The sequence below is a fragment of the Homo sapiens genome, chromosome 9, assembly GCF_000001405.40.
Source record: "Homo sapiens chromosome 9, GRCh38.p14 Primary Assembly".
NCBI lineage: Eukaryota > Metazoa > Chordata > Mammalia > Primates > Hominidae > Homo > Homo sapiens.
In genome coordinates, this window is record NC_000009.12 from 110,300,035 (window position 1) to 110,318,286 (window position 18,252).

The window sequence follows — 18,252 nt, forward strand, 5'->3', positions numbered from 1 at the left end:
CCAGGCTGGAGTGCAGTGGCTAGATCTCAGCTCACTGCAACCTCCGCCTCCCAGGTTCAAGCAATTCTGCTGCCTCAGCCTCCCAAGTAGCTGGGATTACAGGCACCTGCCACCACGCCTGGCTAATTTGTGTATTTTTAGTAGAGACGGGGTTTCACAATGTTGGCCAGGCTGGTCTTGAACTCCTGACCTCGTGATCCACCCGCCTTGGCCTCCCAAAGTGCTGGGATTACAGGCATGAGCCATTGTGCCCGGCGGAACTGCAGTATTCTTTGTGGAGGTTAAAAAGAGGCCCCAGGCCAGGCGTGGTGGCTCATGCCTGTAACATCAGCACGTTGGGAGGCCGAGGCGGGCAGATCATTTGAGCCCAGGAGATCTAGACCAGCCTGGGCGACATCGTGAAACCCCATTTCTACAAAAAATGCAAAAATTACCTGGGCGTGGTGGCACATACCTGTGGATTCAGGTACTTGGGAGGCTGAAGTGGGAGGATCATTTGAGCCTGGGAGATGGAGACTGCAGCAGTGAGCTGTGATCGCATCACTGCACTCCAGCCAGGGCAACAGAGTGAGAACCTGTCTCAAAAAAAAAAAAAAAAAAAGAGAGAGACAGAGAGATGATCTAAAGAAAGAAAGAGAGAAAGAGAGAGATGATCTAGATACAGTATGGTGCAAATAATTGGGTAGATCGCAGTTATGGTTCAGAAACTTAGGCATTAGCCTTGAAAGTTCAAATTGATATATGTTACTCTAAACCCCTCTAAATGAGGTCTTATTAAAATGAGGTCACCAGATAAGATGATCTGAAGTTTTTTGATGCTTAATTTTGTTAAGCAGTGACTGTGACTGGTAGAATTTAAGATAAGCATGGCATCATTATATGCCATGCTTATAAGCTTGACTATGCAACTTTTCTTTAACCTTTAGTCTTAACTTTGGCATCATAGAGCTGGGGTCCAATGCGGATTTTTCTGGGGAAATTTGGGCAAGTCATTTAACTTCTTTGTGTCGGTTTTCTCCTGTGCAAGAAAATAGGGATAAAAGTAGTACCTCCACTGTAGGTACTGGTGTGCTACAGTGAAATCTTACCAGCTCATGAGGGCCTATTGTGTACATCTCTTCCCAGCTGCATGCTCAGTGATGCCATTGGGTAGCTTGAAATCTACCAAGTATTTACACCACAGAAATTGGCAACCACTTCAGACCAGGCAGTATTTTTCTCCCAGAGAACCAGTTGTTAAACATTTCTCAAAACAATTCCACTTACAGGATTGCTGCAAAAGTTAAATGAGGTAATGAATGCAAAGGGTTTAGGATATTGTCTAGCAAGTACACTAAATATATATGTGAGCATGGCATATACAGATTTTTATCAGACAACTTTTGCTTTAAATTGTTATTTTATTTTAAAAGTTTATTTTTTGCAGTGAGCACAACATTTTAAGTCTTTTCAGCCTCTTGCTTTTCTGGGGTGCCCACCATCTCCACCCCCACCCTTATAATAGGAGCAAAATTGCCTTTATTGTTGTGATCCTGCCCCCTGGCTAGAGTTGTTCAGGAAGGAATAGTCTGGCTGGTGTCTTGAATGGAGGAGATAATACATGCTTAGGAGTTATTGGCAGGGACTACTTTCCAGCACGAAGACTGGAAAATAAAGAACATCTATCTGTAGCAACATAAAGGATGATTCAGATGAAAAGCAGAGGACAGGAATACTTGGAAATACCCCGAGTCCCCCATAGCTTTCCTCTCCCTGCTTCTAATCTCATGTGAAGGCTGACTGTATCTCTGCATTTGGATTCCGTGAATCAAGTTTTATTTTAAGTGCCTATTCCAGTGTTTGGCAGAGTAAGTGCTCAATGCATATTTGTTCTCCTTTTCACTTAAACTAGTATGTGCTGGTTTCCTCTATAGCCCAAAGAATATTTTTTATTTTTATTTATCTATTTATTTATTTATTTTATTTTTATTTTTGAGACTGAGTCTCGCTCTATTATCCAGGCTGGAGTGCAGTGGCATGATCTCAGCTCACTGCAACCTCCACCTTCCAGGCGCAAGTAATCCTCCCACCTCAGCCTCCCAAGCAGCTGGGACTACAGGCATGAACTACCATGTCTGGCTAATTTTTGTATTTTTTTTTTCTTTTTTATAGAGACAGAGTCTAGCTATGTTGCCCATGCTGGTCTCAAACTCCTGGGCTCAAGTGATCCTCCCACCTCAGCCTCTCAAGCAGCTGGGACTACAGATGCAAGCCACCATGCCTGGCTAATTTGTCTATTTTTTGTAGAGACAGGGTTTCACCATGTTGCCCAGGCTGGTCTCAAACTCCTGGGCTCAAGCAATCCACCTGCCTTGACCTCCCAAAGTTTTAAGATTACAGGCGTGAGCCACTATGCTCTGCCTACTCCAAAGAATTCTAAAAAAGCATATGGAGCCTATGCTTTGTCAAAATCTCAGTTATTAATGCCTAGGAAAGCCAGCTCCACTCTGTCTATGACTTAAGACTCCAGTGTTTATCTGGTGCAGCCTCAGCATAGACACAATTAGTACGGTACAGAAGAAGCCATCTCCTCTGGGCTCTAAATGTCTGAGTTAGCTCAGTTTTTTTTTTTTTTTCAATAGGCAGTAAAAGGACTTTCTGGTTTGTATGTGTGTGGGTCTGTGTGTGTACACGTCTGTGTTTATAGGAGGACTTTAGAAAGGGAGTGAGAGAGAGAGAAAAATGACACAGTTCAAACATAAAATGATGGCTGGGCATGGTGGCTCATGCCTGTAATCCCAGAACTTTGGGAGGCCGAGGCAGGAGGATCACTTGAGGGCAGGAGTTTGAGACCAGCCTGGACAACATAGTGAACCCCTGTTTCTACTAAAAACACAAAAATTAGCCAGTTGTGATGACGCCTGCCTATAATCCTAGCTACGCAGGTGGCTGAGGTGGGAGAATAGCTTGAACCTGGTAGGCAGAGGTTTCAGTGAGCCGAGATCATGCCACTGCACTCCAGGCTGGGCAACAGAGCAAGACTGTCTCAAAAAAAAAAAATGATGCATTGGAGAAGAATTTTGTACCATAAGAAATGGCTTAATCGGGGGAGGCTTTCATATGTTCAAAGTGCACGAGGGCACTAAGACATTTATTTGTTCCTTGACCACTGGGAAGAATTGGATCTTTGCTAATCTCTGGAAAATCTTGATGACCTGGTAATACTTAGCTGTGCAGGACCTCTCTTGTGAAGGTCATAAAAACACTGCCCAAGGAGTGTGCTCAGAGCAAGTGGGAAGCCCAAGTTGGAGAATGGAAATGATGCAATCTCTCATATTGCAACAGTTTTTAGCAATTGTGCAGTGAGATTGCATTATGGTATTCAACCAGCAAAGCATTAGGAGAGAGACCAGTGGAACACTACAGTATTTGCTGGAAATGAAAGCACAAACACATTTGCTCTTGCCTTTTCAAATGTCACAAGTGTATTTTGCCTTGGAGATCAGCTTACATTAATTCTTGAGTCTTGGCTTCCAATTTTTTAGCATCGGCTCCACAAAACTCAAAAATCTGTTCACAAATGCACAAAGGTGAAACATTTATTGATTCAAGTGCTGCGAAAATGTTGAGGCTTTAAGGAATTTTATTCCTGATTGAAAAGTTAAATCCTACTCATTTCCATCATCTGCAAGACACTTTAAATATAAATATACATTAAACACATTAAATTCATAATATTTTCATATTTGGCATCCTTTCAAAATTACTTTTGCTAAAAACTTTGCCAGATCTCTATAATTCTCCATAATATACCTTTAATCTAAGATCTAAAACGTATAATAATCTCGGAAATAAACAAACTCCATCATTGGAACTTCTCAGAGCTCTTATACATTGGTATCGAGGATTTGTCAATTAATATACACAATCTTCTGAAATCAAATGGCTTGGGATTTGTCATTCCCTGACTTCTCCCCAGGTAAGAGTATTATAATTCATTGATTCTAAGAAGCACATGTTCCTTTCAAATGTTTACATCTCTGAATCAGAATGCATTTCATAGTGGATGGTATGTTATATTTCACTTGGAACACTTCTTAGTGGTATATAAAATAATGCATCTTTTTTGAAGAAAGATGGAATTCAAAGATGGAATTCAAAATATATTACATGGTTGAAGACAAGGAAGAGTGTGAGGTTGGGATTGGGTGAAAACTTGAGTTCCCAGTAAAGGGGCGGTTGAGCCACCAGGAATGGTGTTAGGACTTTGGGGCAGGGGCTAGAAAAGTCTAGAACTAACTTTACTGCCCGGTGTGCTGCAGGGAGAAACCATCCCCACACCAAAGGCTTCTGCTTCTCCAGGCAGCAGCATTCTGCCTGAGTGTGTCATTATATTTATTCCTTCAAAGTAAACCCCAGATTTCTAACTCTAACTTGATCCCATTTCACTTACCAGGTTGCTCATGAATCCACTTCTATAACAGCAAATTATTCTTTTGATTCTTGAGAATAGGGTTACCTAAGTGTGGGTGCAGAATTTCATAATTTATCTGAGTTGCCTGGTTTGTAACCATCTCCCCTATAACTGGTTCTTTTGGCCTTGGCCAGGGAAGGAAGGTGTCAGAAAGGATCTGCAAAAGTTTCTCTTTGCTAAGAGTTAGGTGGCAGCTGGGTGGTGGCTCTTTGGCATGAAGGGAGGTTCATGATCCTCTGCAAAATCTGAGGTCAGAACTCGTGCAAAGATAAGAACGTCTGGTGGAAACATAGGCAAGGCTTGGCTACCTGAATGACCAGACTTGGCAGGAAACATAATAAATTCATTTTGCCTGTTTTTGGACTTTTAAAGATGGATGGCCGGGTGCAGTGGCTCATGCCTGTAATCTGAGCACCTCGGGAGGCTGAGGTGGGTGGGTCACTTGAGATCAGGAGTTTGAAACCAGTCTGGCCAACATGGCAAAACCCCATCTCTACCAAAAATACAAAAATTAGCCAGGCGTGGTGGTGTGCACCTGTAATTCCAGCTACATGGGAGGCGGAGGCACGAGAATCACTTGAACCCAGGAGGTGGAGGTTGCAGTGAGCCACGATCAAGCCACTGCATTCCAGCCTGGGTGACAGAGAGAGATTCTGTCTCAAAAAAAAAAAAAAAAAAAAAAAGGAATATGGTGCACTGATTCAAATGTAATTGTTTTTAAAAAATAGAAAAAAAGAAAGATGGAATTCTACGATATGTATTCTTCTGTGTCTGGCATCTTCCACTCAACATGATGTTTATGAGACTTACCTGGAGAGTGTCACTACAGTCATTTTTCAGTGTTTCTTTGGTATTCCATTGCATGAATGTAACACAGTTTATCCATTTTTGCTGTGACAAATAGTGCTACTGTGGATGTTCTTGTCCATATCTTTGTAGGGATATCTTTGTGAGCACATAAGCACTGATTTCTGTTGTATAGCTAGAAGTGGGATTGTGGGTTCTGCTTCAGTAGAAGCTACCCCACAGTTTTTGAAATTATACTGCATGTATTTTCTTTTTCTTTCTTTCTTTCTTTCTTTCTTTCTTTCTTTCTTTCTTTCTTTCTTTCTTTCTTTCTTTCTTTTTCTTCCTTCCTTCCTTTCTTTTTCTTTCTTTCTATTTTCTTCTTTCTTTCTTTCTCTTTCTTACTCTCTTTCTTTCTCCTCTTTATATCTTTCCTTCTTTTTCTTTCTTTCTTTCCTGTTTCTTTCTTCCCTTCCTTCCCTTCCCTTCCCTTTCTTTTCTTTTCTTTTCTTTTCTTTCTTTTCTTTTCTTTTCTTTCCTTTCCTTTCCTTTCCTTTCTTTTCCTTTCTTTTCTTTTCTTTCTTTTTCTTTTCTTTTCTTTTCTTTTTTTGACAGAGTCTTTCTCTGTCACCGACTTTGGAGTGCCGCAATCTCAGCTCACTGGAACCTCAGCTCACTGCAACCTCAGCTCACTGCAATCTCTGCCTCCCGGCTTCAAGCGATTCTCCCACCTCTGCCTCCCACCACCACTCCTGGTTAATTTTTAAAATTTTAGCAGAAACGGGCTTTCACCATGTTGGCTAGGCTGGTCTCAAACTTCTGACCTCCAGTGATCTGCTCATCTCAGCCTCCCAAGGTGCTGGGATTACAGGTGTGAGCCACCATGCCTGGCCTGCATATATTTTCAATTTATACTCTACCAGCAGAGGATGAGTGTTCTAGCTCTAGCTCTGCATCCTTGACAACACTTGATATTGCCAGTCTTTTTCATGTTAACAATTCTGGTGGCTTTAGGGGACAAGTTTGCTACCAAATTCCATATGTTTTACCTTGGTCAGCTTTCACCTGACTTTAGCAATGGCTATATAACTTGTCTCTTTCGGTCTCCAGTCTTGTGCCACTTAGGTCCTTTCTCATCCCTGAAGCTCAAAACCACAAATCCAGGCATGCCATCCTTGTTTGTAAACATCTTCAGTTTTTCCCCATCACCATACAATCCAAGCTTCTTCCAAGGTCTCCGTAATTTTGTCCTGTCTCCCTCCCTGTTGCTCCTTGCCATAAAGCTTGAACTCAGTCAGATCCATTTGTTCATTTAACAAATACTTAATAAGTGCCTACTATGAGCCACACTTACTGTGAACAAAACTGACAAAATCCTCTCATGAGCTCATCTGCTAGTGATAACTTTTTACTATTGTTGTGTTATTATCCAAAGAATTCCTGACATATACCCATGTTATTTTATAACACTGCTTCCTGTCATCTTTTCTCACTTGCTATTCTTAACTATCCCTCAAGATGGTTTGAGTAACTCATAGAGCCTTCCTTGAACCTTTTCTCTGTGATCCCATAGTACTCTGGGCATCGCAGTATTAACTAATTTTTGTCATCTATCTTTCCCACTACACCAAGGATGAAGACTATACCCGAAATTTTTTTCCATATATTATTTATTTATTTATTTTAGAGATGAGGTCTCGCTCTGTCACCCAGGCTGGAGTGCAGTGATGCGATCATAGTTCACTGCAGTCTTGAACCCCAGGGCTCAAGTGATCCTCCCACCTCAGCTTCCTGAATAGCTAGGACTACAAGCATGCACCAATACACTGGCTTTTTTTTTTTTTTAATTTTTAAATTTTTTGTAAAGGCGAGATCTTGCTGTGTTACCTAGGCTGGTCTCAAACTCCTGGCCTCAAAAGATCCTCCTGCCTCCCCTCCCAAAGTGCTGGGTTTACAGGCATAAATCACTGTGCCTGGCTTTATAGTTTTAGTATCTAATCTAGTACCTTACACAGAGTAAGTGTACCATTGATGACCATAGGCCTGTGTTGAGCTAAGTTTCAGCAACTAGGTATTACCTGTCTTATTCTATCTTTATCTTGTTTGCCAAAGAGAAATGTTACATTCGTGTCTTCCTATCCAGCACTGGGCTTTGCATACAGGAACTTAATAGGTGGAGTTCATGGATAAGGAGCAATTTACTGATAAGAGCTTATTGCACAGATAGCTTTCTTTTGAAGAGAGATGTATGCAAGGCAAATAGTTTAATTTCTGCCCAAAGTGTTGTGAGAGGAAAATAAATAAATCTTGGGGTCCCCAAATCACTAAGCTAAAGGGAAAAGTCAAGCTGGAACTACTTAGGGAAAACCTGCCTCCCATTCTTTTCAAAGTCACCTCTCCACTCACTGAGATAAATGCATATCTGATTGCCTCCTTTGGAAATGCTAATCAGAAACTCAAAAGAATGTAACCATTTGTCTTTTATCTACCTATGACCTGGAAGCCCCCTCCCCGCTTCAAGTTGTCCTGCCTTTCCGGACCAAACCAGTGTTCATCATATATGTTGATTGATGTCTCATATCTCCCTAACATGTATAAAACCAAGCTGTCCTCTAACCGTCTTGGGCACATAGCATCAGGACCTCCTGAGGCTGTGTCACAGGCACATGTTCTCAACCTTGGCAAAATAAACTTTCTAAATTAACTGAAACCTATCTCAGGTGTTTGGGGTTCACATTTGGCAACCACAAAGGGATTCTGAGTGGAGTTACCCCTGACCTTTGGCAAATCTCCTGTTGGTGCTTGATACCAGCATGAGCTAACTTTATGGCTCAAACCAATAGGACAATTTGCTGAGGCCTGGGAGCACCCCACTCCAGAGAATCCCCAATCTCCCAAGATTTGGTCAAGATCTAGTTTATTTTGCTGTACAACTCCCTTTTTTTAGAGTTTTACTTGCTTCCAACAAGGAAGGCAAGATTTCCTGCTTTCATGATGATGGAAGGCAGGTAATTCCTTTATAGAGTCTGAGGTTGCTCCCAACAAGGGAGACAAGTTTGATTTTTTTGCTGGTTCTTCAGCCCAAGACCCAACCCTAGGTAAGTATCTGAATTTGGGTTTTGTCTTGGCTAAAGTTAATAACCAGCTGTTTTTAATTTCTCCTTACCATTAGCATGCTCAGAGATCACATTGTTTTTTTTTTTGTTGTTGTTGTTTGTTCTTTTCTTTCTCCCATCAGATTTGACCTACTCTACCTGACTTGCTCAAATCTGAGTGAGAATTCCAAATTATGGGTAACAAGGCCTCTCTAATTTGGCTAAAATTCCTTGCAGCTGCAAAAGAGGGAAAACAAAACAGAAAACCATGCACTTGGTTTCTGTGTTTGCTTCCTGTCTTTAAAAAAAAAAAGGTTCTCTCATTTACTTTCCTTCTACCACGTACCTCCTTCCCCTTTGCCACCTGCAGTACCAAAAAAATCTAGAGAAGGCTTCTAACGATTTGAACCCCTTTAAAGAATTCAGAGCAAAGGTGCCACTCACCCCTTTTGATGTGTTCTGTTTTCTTTGTGGAGTTTCAAGAGTCATGGGCAGATTCTTCTTAGGTCTAAAGCTCTATTTTCCTGTATTGCATGACCTGACCTCTTTGGCTTTGTAGATACCAGAGATGACCTTGTACTGTGAGAGGTTTTGACCTTAGCGTGTGTAATGGCGAATGAGAACTACAAAGTTAGGGATGGCTGAGAACAGTTTACAGGAAGTGGTCTTGGCTGTTATTTTATTTTTTCTCGTAGGAAGTTGTTAAGGATCCTAATTCTAGTTCAGATATGCATTCTAAAGGATCTTCTCCATTGCTTTTTCTCTGAAAATTAATCTTGATTTGGCTTGTCTGTGTATATTTGCATAAGAGACTGAATTTTCTTAGCTCGGAAGAGAAACAACATTTGCTCCTTCCAGCTGAAAGTTGCCCCTGGGTGACTCGGGCCTCAAGGGAGTATCTGGGGGATTGACCCCCCCACAATATGCAGCAGCCCTACAGGAAAATCCCCCCAAAAATTAATTTTATTTATTTATTTATTTTTTTGAGATAGAGTCTTGCTGTGTCATCCAGGCTGGAGTGCAGTGGCACCATCTCAGCTCACTGCAACCTCTGCCTCCCATGTTCAAGTGATTCTCCTGCCTCTGCCTCCCTAGTAGCTGGAATTACAGGCATGCACCACCATGCCTGGCTATTTTTTGTATTTTTAGTAGAGACAGGGTTTCACCATGTTGACCAGGCTGGGCTTGAACGCCTGACTTCAGGTGATCTGCGCATCTTGACCTCCCAAGGTGCTGGGATTACAGGCGTGAGCCACTGCTCCTGGCCTAAAAAGTAATTTAAAAAAAGGCTTATCCAGGAAACACATATAAGGGCTGATTACCTAGTGTTTTGAGCCCTCTCAGAGATAATAGACCTCTGGAGAGAGAAACTGAGGCATGTAAGAGGGTAGAAACAACTCAGTGGTGTGGAGTGCTGCTTACAAGCAGCACACATCAATTCATCACACAAAAACTCTAGGCCACGGCTCAGTTCCTTTTATTAAGGAAAAAAAAGTGGGAAACCAATAATCTAAGTTCCTTATTAATAATCTCAGTTCCTTTTATTAAGAAAAAAAAAGTGGGAAACCAATAATCTAAGTTCCTTATTAATAATCTCAGTTCCTTTTATTAAGAAAAAGAAAGTGGGAAACCAATAATCTAAGAATGAGAAGAAAACAAGGAGACTGACTCCCCTTTCAAGCACTCCATAGGTTTTATGGCACCTCTACTTGCCAGAGTTTATGTAAAATGGAAGTAATATGGTCTTTGTGCACATTCACATTAAAGAAAAAAGAGTCCTAGGATCCATCTGCAAACTATAGAGTTCCTAAGTTATAGGATCTTTGTGTGTGGTGTGTGTGTGTGTGTGTGTGTGTGCATGTGTATATTGGAAAGGCCTTTATAATTTCTATAATTTTTTGTTTAGTTGGCAATTAAATCCATTTTAATTTCCCTCTAGCACACCAGACATTTTCTCTCCATACTTGATTATGTAAATTTTGCTGCTTTTCACCTGAGTTGTTTAAATTTAATATGCAAATTTAAGGCGATTTAGCTGACAACTGTCTAGGGTAGTGAAACAGGTTATCAAGAATTTGAAAGTATAAGATAGGAAAAAATAGAGTCTATGAATCTACAAGATGTACTTCTACCGGCATGCCTAATACATTTATGTATTTATGTGTTATGTTACACAATGTTTCATTCCTGAAAATATATAAAAGAGCTCTAATTAATTGGCTTAAGAAAATAAAAGCACTTGAATCAAATACTTTATCAGGAAAAAATAAAAGACTAGCCAAATGCTTTTTCAAGTTTATGTAACTTAAGTAAAATCTTTAATAAACAAGCTAGCTTTAAAATTATTGGAAGCGTAATATTAGAAATGTCTTAAGAATTGCCAGCATACATTTTTGTTTGCATTTATTAATCAAGCAATTTCATACTTATCCCTGCTAAACACTATAAGGTGTCAAAATTTGGCATAGGGGTTACAAAACTATAAACCCAGCCCAAAACAGAATGAACTTTGCTTGTGTAATTTTTAATAAATAAGACATTGATATTGGTTTAATGAAAATAGTTACATCTTGAATTTAGTAACTTCTAATCTTTTGGCTTCAAGCAGTCTAGTCCACAGGCAGTAAAGTTTGTTTTAGGAAAGGACTGTTACCATCTTTGTTTCAAAGCTAAGCTATAAACTAAGTTCCTCCCAAAGTTAGTTTGGCCTATGCCCAGGAATGAACAAAGACAGCTTGGAGGTTAGAAGCATGATAGATTCAGTTAGGTCAGATCTGTTTCACTGTCTCAGTAATAATTTTGCAATGGTCATTCCATAACTTTAAATGATTATTATCACAGTTTACATAAATCATCTAGGTAAATGATTAAAATAATTAGGTAAATACAACGGGGAAAATACTTGTAGACAAACTCATCATAATTGAGAATCTAAAGTTATATTAAATTAATAGATATTTCATTATTTGGGTATTTTTCAATAAAAATATATTGTAGGAAAACATTCTTTTTTAAAGAAAAGAAGTGTGTCCTTTTTAAAAAGGTGAACAATTTTTGTCTAATTCAAAAGCTTATTTAAAGGTTATGTATAAAACAAGGTAAAAGAAACCAGGAAATAAGAGCGATGTAAAGAAAGTTACAAAAATAAAGAGGTATATATATATATATATATATATATATATATATATATCTCCATACTATATATATATGGATTACTATATTACTATATCCATATATATATGGATATAGTAATAGATATATATATCTCCATACTATATATATATATGGATATAGTAATATAGTATATCCTTATATATATATATATATACATGGATATACTATATTACTATATCCATATATATACTATATATACACTATATATGGATATACTATGTACTATATATATACTATATATGGATATACTATATACTATATATACTATATATGGATATACTATATACTATATATATACTATATATGGATATACTATATACTATATATATATGGATATAGTAAACTAATTTAACTTTTTTTTTTAAGATGAAGTTTCACTCTTGTTGCTCAGGCTAGAGGGCAGTGGCACTATCTCTGCTTGCCGCAACCTCCACCTCCCAGGTTCAAGCAGTTCTCCAGGGAGAGCTGAAATGTTTATGAATATCAAGCAGAGCAGGAGTTATCTGCATGGACTGAACTAAAAAAAAACCGAAGTAATATTTTTGACTTTTTCTTAAAATGTTGCTGATCCTTTGTATTGTTTTTCAGAGTCAAGGAAACTTTTGCTTTATTGACAGCTTTTAATAATTTAGTATACTCCTATGAACAAAATTTGGAGCATATTTGTTTCTCTCTACCTGATTTCTCCAGAATTTGGAAACTATTTGTGAGTATTCTTAACTTATGGCAATACAGTTATGGCATAAGTGCAATAAGAACCTGTTTTCATTTGTAACAGGACACAATTGGAGAAACCGGTTATTTTACCAAAGCTTTGGAATGGTGTACTTTCCCTTAAGGAATCAAATATGACTTATGGAAACAATAAAAGTCCCTTGGGAAAACTGGCCTCATACCTTGTCTACACAGTTTCTGTACAGGATTCCTGACCTGTGGTAAGTAAAGAATGTCACTTTCTGACAGGCCCAGGAGCCCCAAGTTTATCATGGAACCTCAAGAGGAGAGGAATTCCCATAGGCATTTGATGGTACAAATCCATCTATGGCTGGGCTCAGCTTCAAAAAAGTCTTATCTGAGATTCTTTCTATGGAACGAAGTTCCATCAAAGTCAATTTAAAAGCCTATGTAAAAAAAATTATTCTTGCTGCACTGTATACAAATACTCAGTCCAAGTATAATAAAGCAAATCTGTCCTATCATGATTTGTCTTTAGTAGAAATGGGAACCTGGAGAGAGAAAATTGTTTCAAAAATTATAGTACATCTGTTGTTAGATTCTAGTCTTGCCTAATGTTTTTCCATTTATATTATTTTCTGCAGTTTGGACTAAATTCTAATTTCTCTTGGCTACAAGTCTTCTTTTTTTAGTTGTTTTTGAGACAGAGTCTCGCTGTTGCCCAAGCTGGAGTTCAGTGGCATGATCTTGCAATCTCAGTTCACTGCAACCTCCGCCACCCGGATTCAAGTGATTCTCCTGCCTCAGCCTCCCAAGTAGCTGGGATTACAGATGCCCGCCACCTTACCCAGCTAATTTTTGTATTTTTAGTAGAGACAGGGTTTCAACATGTTGGCCAGGCTGGTCTTGAACTCCTGACCTCAGGTGATGTGCTCACCTTGGCCTCCCAAAGTGCTGGGATTACAGGTGTGAGCCACCATGCCTGCCCCTACGAGTCTTCAAAATAATGTTTCAATTTTTTTCTTATCTTTTCCCCCAATTTTTCCTAATTTGGAGTCACTGAAAACTAAGCTGTGCTTTTTTAAAGCCCTGCAAACTGAAGCTAGACAATTTAAACTTCCGAAGAAAATAACAGCAATCTATTTACATATATAAGCCACTTTCTGAAGTCCATGTGTAGACTTCAGAGTAATATGACTTAGGCTGGACACAGTGGCTCACACCTGTAATCTCAGCACTTTGGGAGGCTGACGTGGGCAGATCACCTGAGATTAGGAGTTTGAGACCAGCCTGGCCAACGTGGCAAAATCCTGTCTCTACTAAAAATACAAAAATTAGCCAGGCGTGGTGGCACATGCCTGTAATCCCAGCTACTTGGGAGGCTGAGGCAGGAGAATCACTTGTACCCAGGAGGTGGAGGTTGCAGTGAGCCGAGACCGTGCCCCTGACTCCAGCCTGGTTGATAAGAGCAAAACTCTGTCTCAAAACAAACAAATAACAAACAAACAACCAAAATGGAGTAATGTGGCCTATACAGATTTTCCAGGATTGTTCTTTTGTTTGTTGTTGTTCTTCTCCCTTCTTCCCCCTATTTTCTTTTCATAGGATGTGAGGCTTCACAAGCTGCTAAAAATAAGCTTTCCTAATAACTTGGCACCTACCTGTCTAGGAATAAACCACCCTAGCCATGAGAGATCAGATGAAACCTGAGACCAGAAACTCATTTTCTTCTAAAATGATTTCTCCAAAAGATTTTTAAATAGAAAAGGGGGTAAATGTGAAAGGAAAATAAATCTTGGGACCCCAAAATCACTAAGCTAAAGGGAAAAGTCAAGCTGGGAACTGCTTAGGGCCAAACTGCCTCCCATTCTATTCAAACTCACCCCTCTGCTCACTGAGATAAATCCAAATCTGATTGCCTCCTTTGGAGAGGCTAATCAGAAACTCAAAGAAGGCAACCATTTGTCTTTTATCTACCTATGACCTGGAAGCCCCCTCCCCACTTTGAGTTGTCCTGCCTTTCTTGACTGAACCAATGTTCATCTTACATATGTTGATTGATGTCTCATGCCTCCCTACAATGTATAAAACCAAGCTGTGCTCTCACCACCTGGGCACATGTCATCAGGGACTCTTGAGGCTGTGTCACAGGTGGATGTCCTCAAAATCGGCAAATTAAACTTTCTTTTTTTTCTTTTTTTCTTTTTCTTTTTCTTTTTTCTTTTTTTTTTTTGAGATGGAGTCTCGCTCTGTCACCCAGGCTGGAGTGCAGTGGCGCGATCTCGGCTCACTGCAAGCTCCGCCTCCTGGGTTCTCGCCATTCTCCTGCCTCAGCCTCCGGAGTAGCTGGGACTACAGGCGCCCGCCACCCCGTCCGGCTAATTTTTTGTATTTTTAGTAGAGACGGGGTTTCACTGTGTTAGCCAGGATGGTCTCTATCTCCTGACCTCGTGATCCGCCCACCTCGGCCTCCCAAAGTGCTGGGATTACAGGCTTGAGCCACCGCGCCCGGCCAGCAAATTAAACTTTCTAAATTAACTGAGACATGTCTCAGATATTCAGGGTTCACATTGTTTTCTCGTTTTATTCCGATGTCGGGTTATGCCTCTCAAAGGCATGCTCCACTCTGAAATATTAAGGGAGCGAGTTTACTTCTCTCTCCTCAAGGCACTGCTGCAACCCTAGTAATAACTGCTAATGAAAATTATAAGCTCTGGTTTGCTGAGACCAAGAGAATGGGGTGTGGCTGTCCATGCATAATAGAACCAACTAAGCTCAATGATCAGTTTTGAAGTCTTTTATTATGAACATTTTCAAACATCCACAAAAATAAAATAATGAAGTGAACCCTCCTATCCCCTGCATTTGCCCATCATCCAGAGGCAGGTTTTTTTTTGTTTTGTTTTTTTGGCTCTTGTTGCCCAGGCTGGAGTGCAATGGCATGCTCTTGGCTCACTGCAACCTCCGCCTGCTGGGTTCAAGTGATTCTCTTGCCTCAGCCTCCCGAGTAGCTGGGATTACAAGCACCCGCCACCACACCCAGCTAATTTTTGTATTTTTAGTACAGACGGGGTTTTGCCATGTTGGCCAGGCTGGTCTCGAACTCCTGACCTCAGGTAATCCACCCGCCTCAGCCTCCCAAAGTGCTGGGATTACAAGTGTGAGCCACTGCACCCAGCCCGGGGCAATTTTTTTTAATGCCAAAGACATTGAATCACCTGCAAAAATTCTAGTACTGCTGCTGCAAAATGCAAAGGGGCTGGAGACAGCGGTCCCCTCCTCACAAATGGACTTCCAAGAGTACCAATTAGACTTTAGAGTCTGACTAATGACACACTCAAAAGATAATTATAGCAAAATATCTTGGCCAGTTGATATGCAATTTTGGTTTTGATCTTCTTGCCTCAGCCTGCCAAGTAGCTGGGACTACAGAATCCTGCTACTATGCCTGGCTAATTTTTGTATTTTTTTTTTTTGTAGAGATAGGGTTTCACTATGTTGTTCAGGCTGGTCTTGATCTCCTGGGCTCAAGGAACCCACCTGGCTTGGCTTCCCAAAGTGCTGGAATTACAGGTGTGAGCCACTGTGCCCAGCCACAAGACACTTTTTTTTTTGGCGGCAGGGGAGGGGGTTGAGGGGGCGGGGGGCGCAGGCTGTAGAAATGTATGTACAATATAATTTCTTTTTTCTTTTTTTTTGAGACAGGGTCTTGCTCTGTCACTGAGGCTGGAGTGCGGTGGTATGATCTTGGCTCACTGCAACCTCCGCCTCCCGGGTCCAGGTGGTTCTCCTGCCTCACACTCCTGAGTAGCTGGGATTATAGACATGTGCCACCACACTCGGCTAATTTTTTTTTTTTGTATTTTTAGAAGAGATGGGGTTTCACCATCTAGGCTACTACCTGCTAGGCTGGTCTCGAACACCTGGCCTCAAAGTGATCTGCCTGCCTCGGCCTCCCAAAGTGCTGAGATTACAGGTGTGAGCCACTGTGCCTGGCCTGTACAATATAATTTTATAATTTATAATGATATTATATTCTCTTTTTTAAAAAGAGGAGTTTACTAAAGCATTGAATAGTATGAATAAGATGAAAAGAATATGTCTAATAAAAATTTTTAAAATTTCTCTACCTTCTGTGGAGAGGTGAGCAACATTAATTACTGTTTGATCCTATCTGGGCCCCTTTCTCTGACTCCTCCCCACCCATCTGTTCCCCAGAGCCATCTGCATCACGTTGCAGGTATTTGAACACTTCCCCTTTGACTTTCACAAGACTCAAGACAGGCTTTGCAACTGCAAGGGGCTTGATTAAAGTTTTTGGAGGAGCTAAATAAAAATCAAGCAAGCAGCTTGAATTTATATGCACTCGAATTCAAGAACAAGAGCCTATAAAAACAATGTTAATTTTTTTCCTTATCTATACTGGCCTTCTTCTCAACTTGTTCTAATAGTGCGATACCAGCAAAATACAAATTTACTTTCATTTTCTTGTAGCTGATTTAGAAACTCTACTTACAGATCTGATTCTTTGAGCGTTGGTGGCATAAATAATGCAAGAGTGCTTTTCTTCTGTGTAGGGGTTGACAAGCTTTTTTTGTAAAGGATCAGATAATACCAGCTTTAGGCTTTGCAGGCCATTTGGTCTCTGTTGCAACTACTCAAATTTGCTGTTGTAATGCTAAAGCAGCTAGTGACAATTCATAAACAAATGGGCATGGCTGTGTTCCAGTGAAAGTTTATTTACAAAAACAAGTGGAGGGTCGGATATGGCCCTGGGACTGTTCACCGACTCTTATTCTGTGCCATCAACTGAAGTTGTTGAGGCTTCATGCAACTGCCTAAGAGCTAGGTAGTCAGTACAATGTGGCTTTCTGTGGAAGGGCAAAAGCGTGTGCATCTAATGTCGTGGGAATTCACCTCAAGCCACACCTTGAACAGGAAAACTGATTTTGGACTCTGGCTAGAGGAGATGTCATTTTTCCCGTTTACTGGAAGTGTAGGGTGAAACTTTATTCTCAGGGATAAACATGGTTTGGGGGCCATTCCCTTCAATGGCTCATATACTTGTTCTCATGTTTCCACTGGAAAATCTGCTCAAATGCCCAGTTTTGAGAAAATATGCCTGTTTCCTATATCCCTTCACTTCTCCCCATGTTTAGAGGTGAGCTTATCTGTTAAGCTGACACAAAGGAATGAACTTGTGCCTATCCTCTCTCCTTTTGGGGATGCTCTGCTCAAGGGACAGGTATGCTCTCTTCCCACTGTCTTTCTGCACAACACATGGGAAGTGGGCCCTAAACCTGCCCAGATAGATCTGGAAGGCCATCATACTATAGCCTCACTTTTGGGGCTTGATAGTTGTGCAAAGCAACAATACCTCTTTTACCTGCACAGGTAAGTTTCTTCTTTGCAGCCCCAGATTCTCCCACAGGTGGGTCACCCCAATGTCTAGGCTTTAAGGGAATAGTAGGAAGTCTGTTGACATAGATCCCAGCCACATTGTTCAATGAGCACAGTGTAGCATTATGACTACTTATAATAAAGGTGATATTGTGATTAGCCACGTGACTCCTTGGGAGAAAAGAGTTAATGCAGCAGGTCTGGTTGCTTTCTTCTTGTGTGTCTCCAAGAGAACTATGTTTGACCCTTCACCACCCCCTAGAAATGTGGCCCTCCAAGTGTTCCTTGTGTTGGTGATTGACGGACTTTGTTATATATTCCTGGAGGGATGGACCATGCCATGCTGGCGTGTCAAGTTGCTTTGCATACACATCAATATTGATGATATGCCCCTGGTTTTATTGTTGGGGTTCTGAGTTTCTATTGCCATGGCCTGTTGTGTAGCAATGGTTGCACAAGATAAGTGTATGTCACAACTACTCCCCTACTTCCACAAAGACCTCAGTCTCTGAGCTCCAAGTGGTGTTCCTAAGTAGGGCCATACCACATAGCTACCGGAAGTTCATTGCTAGAGAGAGAGCATTCCTATGTGTCTGACAAGGAAAGACCTCAGAAGTCTCTGCTGGACCTTTCTGGACTCCATCAATGCATATCTTTTTTTTCTGCGCT

The 18,252-nt window shown here is 40.6% G+C and overlaps 1 protein-coding gene and 1 long non-coding RNA gene across 10 annotated transcripts in view; one reads left to right on the forward strand and one right to left on the reverse strand.

The window, feature by feature from the left end:
• Positions 1-12,401, forward strand: part of LOC124902246 (uncharacterized) — a 38,529-nt gene extending 26,128 nt beyond the window's left edge. The window contains exon 2 of the long non-coding RNA XR_007061729.1: positions 12,287-12,401. This is a non-coding gene — a long non-coding RNA (uncharacterized LOC124902246). The remainder of the gene's footprint in view (positions 1-12,286) is intronic.
• The window catches only part of TXNDC8 (thioredoxin domain containing 8), a 36,633-nt gene continuing 19,577 nt past the window's right edge, over positions 1,197-18,252 (reverse strand). For 3 of the 9 annotated variants that reach the window (XM_017014582.2, XM_017014579.2, XM_017014584.2), the window contains 3 exons: positions 4,433-4,498; positions 3,491-3,549; positions 1,197-1,273 (listed from right to left, as the gene is read on the reverse strand). In XM_017014582.2, coding sequence (XP_016870071.1) covers positions 1,237-1,273; positions 3,491-3,549; positions 4,433-4,498 — 162 coding nt within the window. In that variant the 3' untranslated portion in view covers positions 1,197-1,236. Of the gene's footprint in view, positions 1,274-3,441; positions 3,675-4,432; positions 4,499-8,826; positions 8,914-18,252 lie in introns of those variants that run through there. The other 6 variants (NM_001286946.2, NM_001003936.4, XM_017014583.2 and 3 more) reach the window with 5 other exon arrangements.